This window comes from Homo sapiens, chromosome 20 (assembly GCF_000001405.40).
Source record: "Homo sapiens chromosome 20, GRCh38.p14 Primary Assembly".
NCBI classification, from domain to species: Eukaryota; Metazoa; Chordata; class Mammalia; order Primates; family Hominidae; genus Homo; species Homo sapiens.
In genome coordinates, this window is record NC_000020.11 from 34,902,434 (window position 1) to 34,916,129 (window position 13,696).

At 46.0% G+C, this 13,696-nt stretch overlaps 1 protein-coding gene across 13 annotated transcripts in view; it reads left to right on the forward strand.

Moving 5' to 3' along the window:
• Positions 1 to 13,696, forward strand: part of ACSS2 (acyl-CoA synthetase short chain family member 2) — a 52,971-nt gene that overhangs the window by 27,445 nt on the left and 11,830 nt on the right. For 5 of the 13 annotated variants that reach the window (NM_001242393.2, XM_047440293.1, XM_047440294.1 and 2 more), the window contains exons 3-7: positions 10,663 to 10,754; positions 10,960 to 11,063; positions 11,320 to 11,392; positions 11,663 to 11,738; positions 11,890 to 12,004. In NM_001242393.2, the coding sequence (NP_001229322.1) occupies positions 10,663 to 10,754; positions 10,960 to 11,063; positions 11,320 to 11,392; positions 11,663 to 11,738; positions 11,890 to 12,004 (460 nt within the window). Of the gene's footprint in view, positions 1 to 6,471; positions 6,511 to 10,662; positions 10,755 to 10,959; positions 11,064 to 11,319; positions 11,393 to 11,662; positions 11,739 to 11,889; positions 12,005 to 12,784; positions 12,824 to 13,696 lie in introns of all 13 variants that reach the window. The other 8 variants (XM_011528909.3, XM_011528905.2, XM_011528906.2 and 5 more) reach the window with 3 other exon arrangements.

Genomic DNA, 13,696 nt, shown 5'->3' on the forward strand with positions numbered 1-13,696 from the left:
GGTCAGGGAAAGCTTCACTAGGAAGTGACATTTAAGCTGAGATTTGAAACACAAGAAGAGTTGGGGAAAGATAGTTAAAGAATATGGCATGTTCTATCAGTCAGAAGGCCAGCATGTTTGGAGCCTAGTAGGCAGAATAGGAGAATGGCACAAGATGAAGTTGGGGAGGATACAAGGCATAGCAGGAGTGCGGATTTTCTTCTATATGCAGTGGAAGCTGTTAAAGGGTTTTAAGCAGGAGGTGATATGATCTGATTTGTGGTTTGTTTTATTGTTGTTTAATTAATTAATTAATTAATTAATTAATTTTGAGACAAGGTCTGGCTCTATTGCCCTGGCTGGAGTGCAGTGGCAACATCTCAGCTCACTGTAATCTCCACCTCCTGGGCTCAAGTGATCCTCCCACCTCAGCCTCCTGAGTAGCTGAAACTATAGGCATGTGCCACCACACCTGGCTATTTTTTTTTTTTTTTTTTTTTAGTAGAGAGAGCATTTCGCTATGTTGCCCAGTCTGGTCTCGAACTCTTGGGCTCAAGCAATCCTCCCACCTTGGCTTCCCAAAATGCTGGGATTACAGGCATGAGCCACCATGCCTGGCCAATTTATGTTTTTAATAGATCATTCTGTGGCCGGGTGCAGTGGCTCATGCTTGTAATCCCAGCACTTTGGGAGCCAAGGCAGGCAAATCACTTGAGGTCAGGAGTTCGAGACCAGACTGGCTAACATGGTAAAACTTCATCTCTACTAAAAATACAAAAATTAGCCAGGCATGGTGGCATGCACCTGTGGTCCCAGCTACTTGGGAGGCTGAGGCAGGAGAATCATTTGAACCCGGCAGGCAGAGGTTGCAGTAAGTCAAGATCACACCACTGCATTCCAGCCTGGGTGACAGACTGAGACTCTCTCAAAAAAAAAAAAAAAAAAGATCACAGATCATGCTGGGTGATGTGTGGACTGGAAGGGAACAAGAGTGAAGTGGGAAACCAGTTAGGTGGGCATTGTGGTCATCCAGGCAAGAGATGAAGGTAGCTTGACCGGGGTGGAGACAATGAAGATACAGATTTTTGAGACTTGCTATCACATCTCTCAATATCTTCTCTTCCACAAAATAAACAGTTCAGTGTTCCTCTCATCTCCTCTCATAACAGGTTTGGTGTCTCTTCTCACCTGGGTGTTTCTCCTCCTGTTTCTCCTCCATCTGATTCCTCTGTAAAGAACTCAGTCTTTCCCTCAGCTGTTTCTTCCTATCCTGTGCCTTGCTTGTAGTTCTAGGGAATTAAAATCTTCAATTCAATGACTATCGTTCTCATATAAAGAGGGGAGCTGGGTGCAGTGGTGCATGCCTGTAGTCCCAACTACTCTGGAGGCTGAGGTGGGAGAATCATTTGAGCCCGAGAGTTTAAGACCAGCCTGGGCAACATAGTGAGACATTGTCTCAAAAAAAAAAAAAAAAAAAAAAGTTGGGGGGTAGCACCAGTCTTCCCTGTCATTAGTCAATTACCAGTCTTTCAATTATTCAACCATGACCCTCGAATACCTATTGTGCCAATTGTGCTTGGAGGAGACAGAGAAGAAGACATGATCTCTGCCCTCCAAGAGCTCAGGGTATAATGGGAAAGATAAGGCCCAAATAAATATAATAAAAGCTAGAAAAACAGATCACAAAGAAAGTGAGATAAAGGGCTTTGGGAGGAAGAAAGAACTTTTAGCTTTTGGGTAGGTGAGAAAAAGAGAAACTAACAAAAATTTCATGGAAAATGTTAATTCAGAGAACCTGGGGCTGGAGAGGAGCGCAGGGAGTATTTTTTTTTTTTTAATGTGGTGATCAAAGATAACCTTACTGAGAAGCCAACATTTGAGCAACGACTCAAAGATAGGGAATAAGTCATGTGGCTATCTAGGGAAAGAACATTCCAAGTAGAGGGCAAAGGCTCTGAGGTTAAATGTTCTTGGTGCTTTTGCCAAACACTGGGGAGGCCGTTTGGCTGGAGCAGAGGGAAAGGGAGAGGAAGAGAGAATAGTTGTATGTGAGGACAGAGAGGAAATGAGGGACTAGATCATGTAGGCCATTGTGAGGACTTTGACTTTTACTCAAAATGAAATGGGAAGTGATCTGAGCATTCTGAGCAGAAGGGTGACATAATCTGAACTACCTAATGGTAGTTTTGGACTAGGATGGTAGAAATAGATGTGAAGAGAGGTAGTCTAATTCTAAATGGATTTTGAATCAATAATGGGTTAAAGTAAATTTCGAGAGTGTGAGAATGAAGTAGTTGGAGAAGACTCCTTGGAGGAGGTTCCCTAGGGGAAGAAGATGAGAAGGACTAGTGACTGTGTACCATGGGTTGTCACACCAACCATATGGCCTCCAGGTGAAGGAAAAGTAGTTTGGTTTATACCAAGGGTTCCCCATGTTATCCCACCAGCTAAATTTCTCATTAATAGTTTTGTTTGATTCACAGTGTTTAAACCTTTTTTTTTTTTTTTTTTTTTTGGTAGGCAGGGGCGAGACAGGGTCTCTGTTGCTAGGCTAGAGTATAGTAGCATCAACGTGGCTCACTGCAGCCTTGACCTCCCGGGCTTATGTGATCCTCCTATTTTAGCCTCTCGAGTAGCTGGGACCATAGGCATTAGCTACCATGCTTGGCTAATTATAAAATTTTTTGTAGAGACAAGTTCTCACCATGTTGCCCAGGCCAGTCTTGAACTCCTGTCCTCAAACAGTCCTCCTGCTTTGCCCTCCCAGAGTGCTGGTATTATGGCATGAACCACTGCAACTGGCCTTAAAGCTTTAAAAAAATTAGTGGTCAACACATATAAATTCAGAAGTTTTTTTTTTTTTTTTGAGACGGAGTCTCGCTCGGTCGCCCAGGCTGGAGTGCAGAGTGCAGTGCAGTAGTGTGATCTTGGCTCACTGCAAGCTCCACCTCCTGGGTTCACGCCATCCTCCTGCCTCAGCCTCCCGAGTAGCTGGGACTACAGGCGCCCGCCACCACCCCCGGCTAATTTTTTGTATTTTTAGTAGAGATGGGGTTTCACCGTCCTCTCGATCTCCTGACCTCATGATCCGCCCGCCTCAGCCTCCCAGAGTGCTGGGATTACAGGCGTGAGCCACCGTGCCTGGCCAATTCAAAAGTTTTGACAAAAATAGATTCCAGGCTGCTATTGAAAAATCGAAAAAATTGACAACATTGAGCCCTGATTCCTAGCAAGCAAAAGCTGACAGGAACCAAGTTTAGGTACTAGATGCCTCCTTTTGCCAGAGCATGCATTTGCCAGTTTTCCTGTCCTTCCCCTTCCCTATTGTTCCCCTGAAACTGAGGCTAAGGTTTATTATACATGTGCTGCTGTTTTCTTATAGGGAAGTGGAAAGGGAACTATTTCTTATCTTTATCATATATTTTCTTTCATGTGGTCCACTTATTTACATTCCGTGCCTAGATCCTGCCAATTTTTGAGCTTGCAGCTCCTGGTGTAGAGGAAAGAGGCCTGGACCTTAAGTCGTGGTCCCTGCTCTGCTGTGGTAACCCACCCTGTGATGCCAAGCATAGCTAATAGCCTCTTTGGATCTCAGAGTTAAGAGACTAAATTGGATGTTCTTTTAAGAGTTCTGATATCCTGGCCGGGCGCGGTGGCTCACACCTGTAATCCCAGCACTTTGGGAGGCCGAGGCGGGTGGATCACAAGGTCAAGAGATTGAGACCATCCTGGCTAACACGGTGAAACCCCGTCTCTACTAAATATACAAAAAATTAGCTGAGCGTGGTGGCAGGCGCCTGTGGTCCCAGCTACTCGGGAGGCTGAGGCAGGAGAATGGCGTGAACCTAGGAAGCACAGCTTGCAGTGAGCCGAGACTGCGGCACTGCACTCCAGCCTGGGTAACAGAGCAAGACTCCGTCTCAAAAAAAAAAAAAAAAAAGAGTTCTGATATCCTAGAGGGCTTGGGATTTTGCAGTAGGCCAATACCCTGCCCCTCACCTTTCCCAACCAGCCAGGGGCCCCAGCCTGGTGTGTATGTCAGAGAAAGAAGACACTGGAATGAGTAAGGTGCTTATATCAATAATGTATAACTTGAGCCCATAGCCAAGGAGAGGAATGCACACTGTGGTGTGTGTGTGTGTGTGTGTTTCACGGTTGGAAGTGGGCTCAAATAAGTTGTACTTGCATAGGTTGTGCTTATTTCTTCTTGTGCACTCTCTATGTACTAGGCTGTACTTGAGGTGCTAGGGATGTAGCAGTGAAGAAAACAAATAAGATCTCTGCTGTCAGCTGGGTGCAGTGGCTCACGCCTGTAATCCCAGCACTTTGGGAGGCCGAGGCAGGCGGATCACCTGAGGTCAGGGGTGTGAGACCAGCCTGGCCAACATCTTGAAACCCCGTCTCTACTAAAAATACAAAAATTAGCCAGGTGTGATGGTGGGTGCCTGTAATCCCAACTACCTGGGAGGCTGAGGCAGGGAGAATTGCTTGAACCCTGGAGGCGGAGGTTGCAGTGAGCCGAGATCGCACTATTGCACTCCAGCCTGGGTGACAGAGCGAGACTCCATCTCAAAAAAAAAAAAAAAAAAAAAGATCTCTGCTATCATGGAGCTTATATTCCAGTGAAGAAAACAGATAATATATAAGTAATTAACATACATGAGATAATTTCAAATAATGGAACGTTTCATGAAAAAAATAAAACAGAATGTGTTTTTTTTTTTTGAGACAGTCTTGCCCTGTCACCCAGGGTGGAGTGCAATGGCGCAATCTCAGCTCACTGCAACCTCCATCTCCTGGGCTCAGGTGATCCTCCCACCACAGCCTCCTGAGTAGCTGGGTTTACAGGCATGCGCCACCATGCCCGGCTAATTTTTGTCTTTTTAGTAGAGTTGGGGCTTCGCCATGTTGGCCAGGCCGGTCTCAAACTCCTGGCCTCAAGTGATCTACCCACCTCAGCCTCCCAAAGTGTGGGATTACATGTGTGGCACCTGGCAAAACAGAATGATTTGATAGAGAGTTTCTGAAGGGGCACACTGTGCACATAGGTGGCTACATGTATATGGTGGTTGTACTTGCAGATACAGATAAGTCCATGTTTGAATCCTGGGTGCATATATTTATCCTTGTTTGTGCCTATGTGTGCAGATGGGCAGCTTTTATGCCTAGAATGTTTGTATATTTATATGTGATTTTATACAAGTGAGCGCACATAGGTGAGTTGGTATGTGGTTTGCATATGGGGACACATGTGCTTGGGTATGTATATGTTGGCATTCAGCCATAACCGGAGACGTTCTGAAGTTCCTGTGGCACTTGTCAGTGAGCCAGTTAAGGAAATGGCTTTTCTGCCTCTGGCATTCAGGGCCGTTTGCCAGCTTCCTCTCTCCCTGTTCTTTCCCACTTTAGTAAGCTCCCTGTGTTTGGCTTCTCTCATCCCTAGGAGGGTTAAAGCCTACTGACTCATCGAGCCAGGAACTGGAAAAAGGCTGATAATCTTCTGTGTGACCTCTGTTAGTAAGAAAAGGCCTGGCTTCCCTGCCAGTCCCTGTCCTTCACACTATGAGGGAGAGTCCTGACTTGAAATCAGAAGACCTGAGCATCTATTCTTGGCTCTGCCACTTATTATTGTGTGACCAATAATCTCTCTAGGTTTCAGTTACCTCCTTCATAAGTGCTCTGTGCAGTAAGGAAGGAGAGGGGAAGCAATGGTCTGTGGTGCTAAGGGAGAGCCAGATGGTGCTGGTGTCTGAAGGAGGAGGGAGAATATTCTGAGCAGGGGCAATGATGTGGCCAAAAGCGTGGAGGTGGACCTGAACTTGCCAAGGGAAACCAGGGATCCACTTACAGTAAAATTCAAACTTCTTACTATTGCCTACAAGGCTCTACGTGATTTGGCTGCTGCCTACCTCTCATTCTTACCCAACTTCTTGCTCACTGAAATCTAGCCATACTGTCTTTCTTTCTTTCTTTGAAAAGGTCTCAGTGCCTTTTCACTTGATGCTCCTTTTCCCCAGAATACTCTTCCCAAGAATTAGTATGATTGCCTACCTCTCATTATTCAGGTCTTGGCTCAAATATCACCTCTCCAGAGAGAGGCCTTCCAGGACCATCTTATTTAAAGTAGTTGTTCCCTAATATTTATCAATATTTAAAATGCACACATCAGCCAGGCACGGTGGCTCACGCCTGTAATCCCAGTACTTTGGGAGGCCAGGGCAGGTGGATCACCTGACGTCAGGAGTTCAAGACCAACCTGACCAACATGGTGAAACCCCATCTCTACTAAAATGCAAAAATTAGCCAGGTGTGGTGGTGCACGCCTGTAATCCCAGCTACTCAGGAGTCTGAGGCAGAAGAATTGCCTGAACCCAGGAGGCGGAGGTTGCAGTGAGCCAAGATCGCGCCATTTTACTCCAGCCTGGGCAACAGGAGCAAAACTCCATCTTGGGAAAAAAAAAAAAAAAAAGCACACATCTCTTGAACCAACAGGTCCACTTCTGGTAATTCATCCTACAGATATACTTGCAGGTGAGTAAAGTGACATAAAAATAAAAATATTCATTGAAGCATTTATTTGTTAAATAAATTACAGTACATACAAATAGTGGAATATTTTGCAGCTGAGAAAGATAATGAAATAGCTCTTTAAGCTTGGCACCGTGGCTCACACCTGTAATCCCAACACTTTGGAAGGAAGGCTGAGGCAGGAGGATTGGAGGATCACTTGAGGCCAGGAGTTCCAGACTAGCCTGAGCAACATAGTAGGATCCTGTCTTTGCAAAAAAAAAAAAAAAAAAAAAAAGGTAGCCAGACATGGTGACTCTGGCCTGTAGTCCCAACTGCTCAAGAGGCAGAGGTGGGAGGATCACTTGAGTCTGGGAGGTTGAGGCTGTAGTGAGCTGTGATGGTGCCACTGCACCCCAGCCTGAGTGACAGAGTGAGACCCTGTCTCAAAAACAACAACAACAACAAATAAAAAAGAGAAATAGTTCTTTAAGTCTTGGTGAAGAATGATATCAAGGTATATTGTTAAATTTGAAAAATCAAGATGATCAATTTCTACACATAAGATTTGTGCATTTTATTGAATGCATATAATAATTAACAAAAGATACAGAATAGTGTGTATTGTATGCCATCATTTGTGTAGAAAAAATGAGACTATGTAAACAAATGCATGTAGTATATATGCTTGTCTGACAGACCTGTCCCTTAAGTAGAGCAGTTCTTCCTACCCCTGTTACCCTGTGCTTGACTGGGGACTATGAGGTGTTCATCTCTTTTCTGAACAACATTAAAATCCTTTTTTTTTTTTTTTTGAGACAAAGTCTTACTCTGTTTCCCAGGCTGGAGTGCAGTGGTGTGATCGCCGCTCGCTGTAGCCTTCACCTTCTGGGTTCAAATGATCCTCCCGCCTTAGCCTCCCAAGTAGCTGGGACTACAGGCGTGCACCACCATGCCCGGCTAATTTTTGTATTTTTAGTAGAGATGGGGTTTTGCCATGTTGGCCAGGCTGGTCTCAAACTCCTGACCCCAGGTGATCTGCCTGCCTTGGCCTCCCAAAGTGCTGGGAATACAGGTGTGAGCCTCTGTGCCTGGCCAAATTTTTTTTTTTTTTTTTTTTAAACAGAGTTTCACTCTTGTCGCCTAGGCTGGAGTGCGATGGCACGGTCTCAGCTTGCTGCAACCTCCATTTCCCGGATTCAAGCGATTCTCCTGCTTCAGCCTCCTGTAAAATTCAGTTTTTTAACATTCAATTTTCAAATTTTGGTCTTCAATGATATCTCAAGGGTCTTATTAAAGATCATAATGATACAGACTTCTTGCAAAGTAATTATTTTGGTCATTCCACACTAGTTGAATTACCCTAGCCCTGTGTCCTACAAAGAATGGTCCTGTCTGAATATTGATTGTTTCTGGAAAGTCACACAGAATATTGGTAACTGTTTTGCCCTGGGCATGGTGGCTCACGCCTGTAATCCCAGCACTTTGAGAGGCTGAAGCAGTTTTGCTTGAGGCCAGGAGTTTGGAGACCACCCTGGACAATATATCGAGACTCTGCCTCTATGAAAAATTTTAAAATAAAAAAATTAGCCAGGTGTGGTAGCATGTGCCCGTAGTCCCAGCTACTCAGGAGGCTGAAGTAAGAGGATTGCTTGAGCCCAGGAGTTGGAGGCTGCAGTGAGCTATGATTGTGCCTCTGTACTCCAGCCTATCAATAGAGTGAGACCCTGTCTCTAAAAAACAAATCACAAAACCCAAACTGTGGTTTGCCAGTAGGCAGGGTGATTGGGAGATAGGAGTGGGGAGAACACTTCTCATTATGTATCTTTTTATGTAGTCCCACTTGTATGTATTACTTATTCAAAAAAATCATAAAATTGGAAAAAAACCACTAAGGGAAACATTTATTTATTTATTTTTTGAGACAGGGACTCACTCTGTTGTCCAGGCTGGAGTTCAGTGACATGATTACAGCTCACTGCAGGCTTGACCTCCAGGGTACAAGCGATCTTCCTGCCTCAACCTCCTGAGTAGCTGAGACTACAGGTGTGCACCACCATGCTCAGCTAATTGAAAACGATTTTTTTTTTTTTAGCAATGAGGTTTTGCTGTGTTGCTCAGATTGGTCTTGAACTCCTGGTCTCAGGTGATCCTCCTGCCTTGGCCTCCCAAAGTGTTGGGATTACAGGCATGAGCCAAGAGATCTTCCCATCTCATCTTTCTGAGTGGCTGGGACTATAGGTGCATGACACCACACTCAGCTAAAATTTTTTTTTTTTTTTTTTGAGACAGAGTTTCATTCTTGTTGCCCAGGCTGGAGTACAGTGGCACAATCTTGGCCCACTGCAACTTCCGCCTCCCAGATTCAAGTGATTCTCCTGCCTCAGCCTCCCGAGTAGCTGGCATTACAAGCATGCACTACCACACCCAGCTGATTTTTGTATTTTTAGTAGAGACGGGGTTTCTCCATGTTGGTCAGGCTGGTCTTGAGCTCCTGACCTCACGTGATCCACCTGCCTCGGCCTCCCAAAGTGCTGGGATTACAGGTATGAGCCACCGTGCCCAGCCGGATCCAGCTCAATGTTTTTAGAGATGCGGTCTTGCTATGTTGCCAGGCTGGTCTTGAACTCTTGGCCTCAATAGATGGGCCCACTTTGGCCTCCTAAAGTGTTAGAATTACAGGTGTGAGCCACCGTGCCTGACCCAAGATAGTATATTTTTTAAAAGTATTTCTCCCTAGTCACTCATTTTTATATCATTCTGCTCTATTTATAATGCTTATCATAATCTGAAATTATCCTGGTTATATTTGTTATTTGTTTATTACCCACACTATCATTGGAATATAAGCTCCATGATATCAGGTATCTTACTTATGTTGTTCATTGGTGCCTTATTTCTTCTTTTTTTTGTTTGTTTGAGACGGAGTCTTACTCTGTCGCCCAGGCTGGAGTGCAGTGGCGTGATCTTGGCTCACCACAACCTCCACCTCCCTTCAAGCTATTCTCCTGCCTCAGCCTCCCAAGTAGCTGGGATTACAGGCGTGTGCCACCACACCCAGCTAATTTTTGTATTTTTAGTAGAGGCATGGTTTCACCACATTGGCCAGGCTGGTCTCAAACTCCTGACTTCAGGTCATCTACCTGCCTCAGTCTCCTAGTGTGTTGGGATTACAGGAAAGAGCCACCACGCCCCGCCCATTGGTGCCTTATTTCTATACATGTAGATAGCACATAGTAGTTGTTGAATAAGCAAATGAATGCATGAAGGAATGACTGAAGTAAACCAGGCTAAAGCCTAGGAAGGAGTGGGAGGCAAGGCTGAGGAGGTAGACAGAAATCACCTGATAAAGGATGGCGATTCTCAAACTTTATTTATTTATTCAAGATGGAAACTCACTCTGTCATCCAGACTGGAGTGCAGTAGTGTGATCTCAGCTCACTGCAACCTCTGCCTCCTGGGTTCAAGGGATTCTCGTGCCTCAGCCTCCCCAGTAGCTGGGATTACAGGCACACACCACCACACCCAGCTAATTTTTGTATTTTTAGTAGAGACGCGGTTTCACCATGTTGGCCAGGCTGGTCTCAAACTCCTGACCTTTGATCTGTCCACCTTGGCCTTCCAAAGTGCTGGGATTACAGGCGTGAGCCACCGCGCCTGGCCAATTCTCAAGAATCCCCTACTAATTCCTTGTACCATCTTGTAATAAAGAAGCAGATCCTTGGACCCTGTGATTCTAATTCAGTATGTTTGAGCTGGGGCCCAGGAATCTACAAATCCTCTAGATGATTTAGGCACAAGTGATCTGGAGACCCTACTCTGAATAATGCAGTCTTGATGCCTCATCAGAAGGAATCACATCTGTGATTTCACTTCTCCTTAATACATTACTAGGATGGAAGAGAAGGGGCCGTCACTCCATTTCATCAAGGATCAGAGATGGACAGTGCATTTTCTAATGACATACAACATGTGTATAAAATATCTTGAATGGCCAAAGTATCTGACCCGTCAGCTCAAGATTGGTGATGGCAAGATTGATGGTGGGCAGATAGCTCATCCTCATAGAACAGTTCCAGGCCTTAGTGTCACTGAATGGATTTTATGACTCTGCCTGTTTCTTGTTTGGGGAAGAAGTTATACCCCTAATCACTGGTTCTTTCTGGTATGTCTCAGGGAGGGCAATGAGCCAGGGGAGACCACTCAGATCACATACCATCAGCTTCTGGTCCAAGTGTGTCAGTTCAGCAATGTTCTCCGAAAACAGGGTGAGTGTGGGGGTGTGGGAAAGGACTGGGGGTCTGGCCTTGGGGTATCTGAGTATCTGAGACTTATGGGGAGAGGGCAAGGGATGGAAAGAATTTGGTAACAGAGGAAGAGAACAGGTCAGCTGGGAGGGAGGCCAGCTGGATGGGAGGGAGCAAGTAGCAGCAAGAAGGGTTCATGGTTCATATTCTGTGCTTTTACCTGCAGGCATTCAGAAGGGGGACCGAGTGGCCATCTACATGCCTATGATCCCAGAGCTTGTGGTGGCCATGCTGGCATGTGCCCGCATTGGGGCTTTGCACTCCATTGTGGTAGGAGTTTGGGCTGGTGAAAAGGGGCAGGCGGGGGGGTGGGGCTCTGGAGAAGTAGGTTGGGCCTAGATGATGGAGGGTCTTAAATAACAAACTAAGGAGCTTAGAAGGTTTGTGTCATAGGTCCATATTAGTTATTCAGTTTCTTCTAGGACCCTGGCTTAGAGATCCTGAAAGTTCCATGAGCAACCCCTTTCTTCATTCACTCAATCCCTGGGGCTTTCTTCTCTCCCTCAGACTTTCTTCCCTTCCCTAGTTTGCAGGCTTCTCTTCAGAGTCTCTATGTGAACGGATCTTGGATTCCAGCTGCAGTCTTCTCATCACTACAGGTGACTAATTCTCTCACCTCTTCTCCAGAACCCCCCATACCTCAAGCCTTGGTCTCCAATCAGCTCATTGGTATTTGGGGCTACTCAGCATAGAGGGTAGAGACTGCCTGCCTTTTCTCTCCTGGTCCCACCTCAGCTGACCCTCTGTCAGCTCGAATCAGCTGGAAGAGCCAGAGTTAAGAGGCCTACTCAGGAAGGGCCCTATGGACATTGTGCCCACTAGGCAGCATGGGGCTTACTAAGGCCTGGAATGTCTGTTGCTCCCCAAAGATGCCTTCTACAGGGGGGAAAAGCTTGTGAACCTGAAGGAGCTGGCTGACGAGGCCCTGCAGAAGTGTCAGGAGAAGTAAGTGTGTTTGGCTACTGTCTGAGTTGACTGAGCCTTTCCCCAGTGCCAGGTTCCCTTTGTCCCCTCTACCCTAAATGGACATGGGTGGGTCTTGCCAAGTTCCCTTTGAGCCAACAAGGCTACCACTTTAGGCTTTTCTCTTCTCCAGGGGTTTCCCAGTAAGATGCTGCATTGTGGTCAAGCACCTGGGGCGGGCAGAGCTCGGCATGGGTGACTCCACCAGCCAGTCCCCCCCAATTAAGAGGTCATGCCCAGATGTGCAGGTGAGTCTGGCACTGCTATGCCTTTCTCCAGGCTCAAATTCCTTCACTTTTCCTGCCTAGAAAATTCTTGATGTCCTTCTTTGCCTGCTCATCAGTATACTGAGGATCCAGGAGCAATTCTAGGAATGCCTCCTCTAGCAGGGCTAGGTGGGAACTGGAAGACTTTGACCTTGACTGTGGGTAGAGAGGCCCTTGTACCTTGAGAACATAGCACAAGCGATTGTAAGGGAGACTCCTATGCTGGTTGGGGTATCCTTGTGGGCACAGGGGATCCTCAGGGCCTAGGCTTGTGTTAGAAATGTCTAACTTGAGTGACAATATATAGTCATCTCCATTACTAGGCTGTGATGTGGGGTGGGCTATCTTTGTGGCCTAAGGGATGCCCACCTTGGAAGGACCAGAGTCCAGCCCTCACAATATGGCCTTTGTTAGCTTTGGACCCCCAGGCTTCTGGTGGGAATGGTAGAAATGCCCAGTGATGGCCTCCAGGCTGAGCAGCATGAGGGATCAAAGTTCTGGGGTTGAGTAAGAGTCTGTGACTTGAGGCTCCCTGAGGGGTCTTAGGGCTAGAGAGGCTGTAGTCTAGTTTAGGGAAGTTGGAAAGCCCAATCAGTGTTAGGGGTTTTACATATATAGGGGCTGGAATCAGGATCAGGAAAATGGAAGCTGGGAGGACCAGTGAGAAGGGAGTTTGGGGTTTATGACACACTGACCCTTTCCTCCCACTCCCTGTATACTTGGACCCTCCTCACTACCCTTTTCATCCTGGGCTCTTAACAGGGTAAACTGAAAGAGAAATCCAAGCGTGTTCAGCCCCAGGTATCCATTTCTGCACTGCCGTGGGCACCGCTTCTCTGTTTGCTTGTCTGTGTGCTCATCTGCCCTTTGCCTGTTTGCCCCATTGAGGTGGCTGCCAGACCTAACCTCCTTCCCCTTGCCCCTGGGCAACTTGACATCTAAGCCACTGAAGGGTGGTGAAATTAAATGTCCGTTACTGCCTCTGTGAATTGGTATAGAGTATGGATCTTAGAGAGGTAACAGCAGAACACATTTTATCCTGATACTCAGGACCTTTGTGGGAGAGGGGACAAGGTAACCTGTCAGAAAACATTTACTGTGCAGGTAGCTGGAGCAGAGCCGAGAGACAGGAGGAGGAGGAGGTGGAGGAGGTTCAGACCCTGACTTTGGGAATTCACTGTCAAGTTGGGGAGTTAGACATGTATTATTAATACAAAGGAAAATCTAAGTTTTATACAGGACAGCAGAGGAGATTCCTAAATACATTTATATAGTGCTTTGGGATTTATAAACTGCATATAACTTTGTAATATGATTAAGTGCTAAACTGAACAAAAGTCATATTGTAGGTGGTTCTAAGAAGGGAGATCCATAAGGGGGTGCTCAAAGCAGATTAGTATCGAGGAAAGAGTGGGCCTGAAGTCCAGAGACCAATTTTTAGCTGTATGACCTTGAGTAAGTCAATTCTCCCCTCTGGGATTCAGTTTCCTTATCAGTAATGGAGAGATGATAACACATGTTATAAAAGGAAACAGCTTCCCTTCCTAAAACAACACATAAAGCTCACTATTCCTCTGGATTTTACCATCTTCACAGGGTGTCTTACTCTAAATCTGCTATGATTAACCTCTTAGGCCAATGGTAGATATAAGCCCCTTTTCTCTATTCTCATTA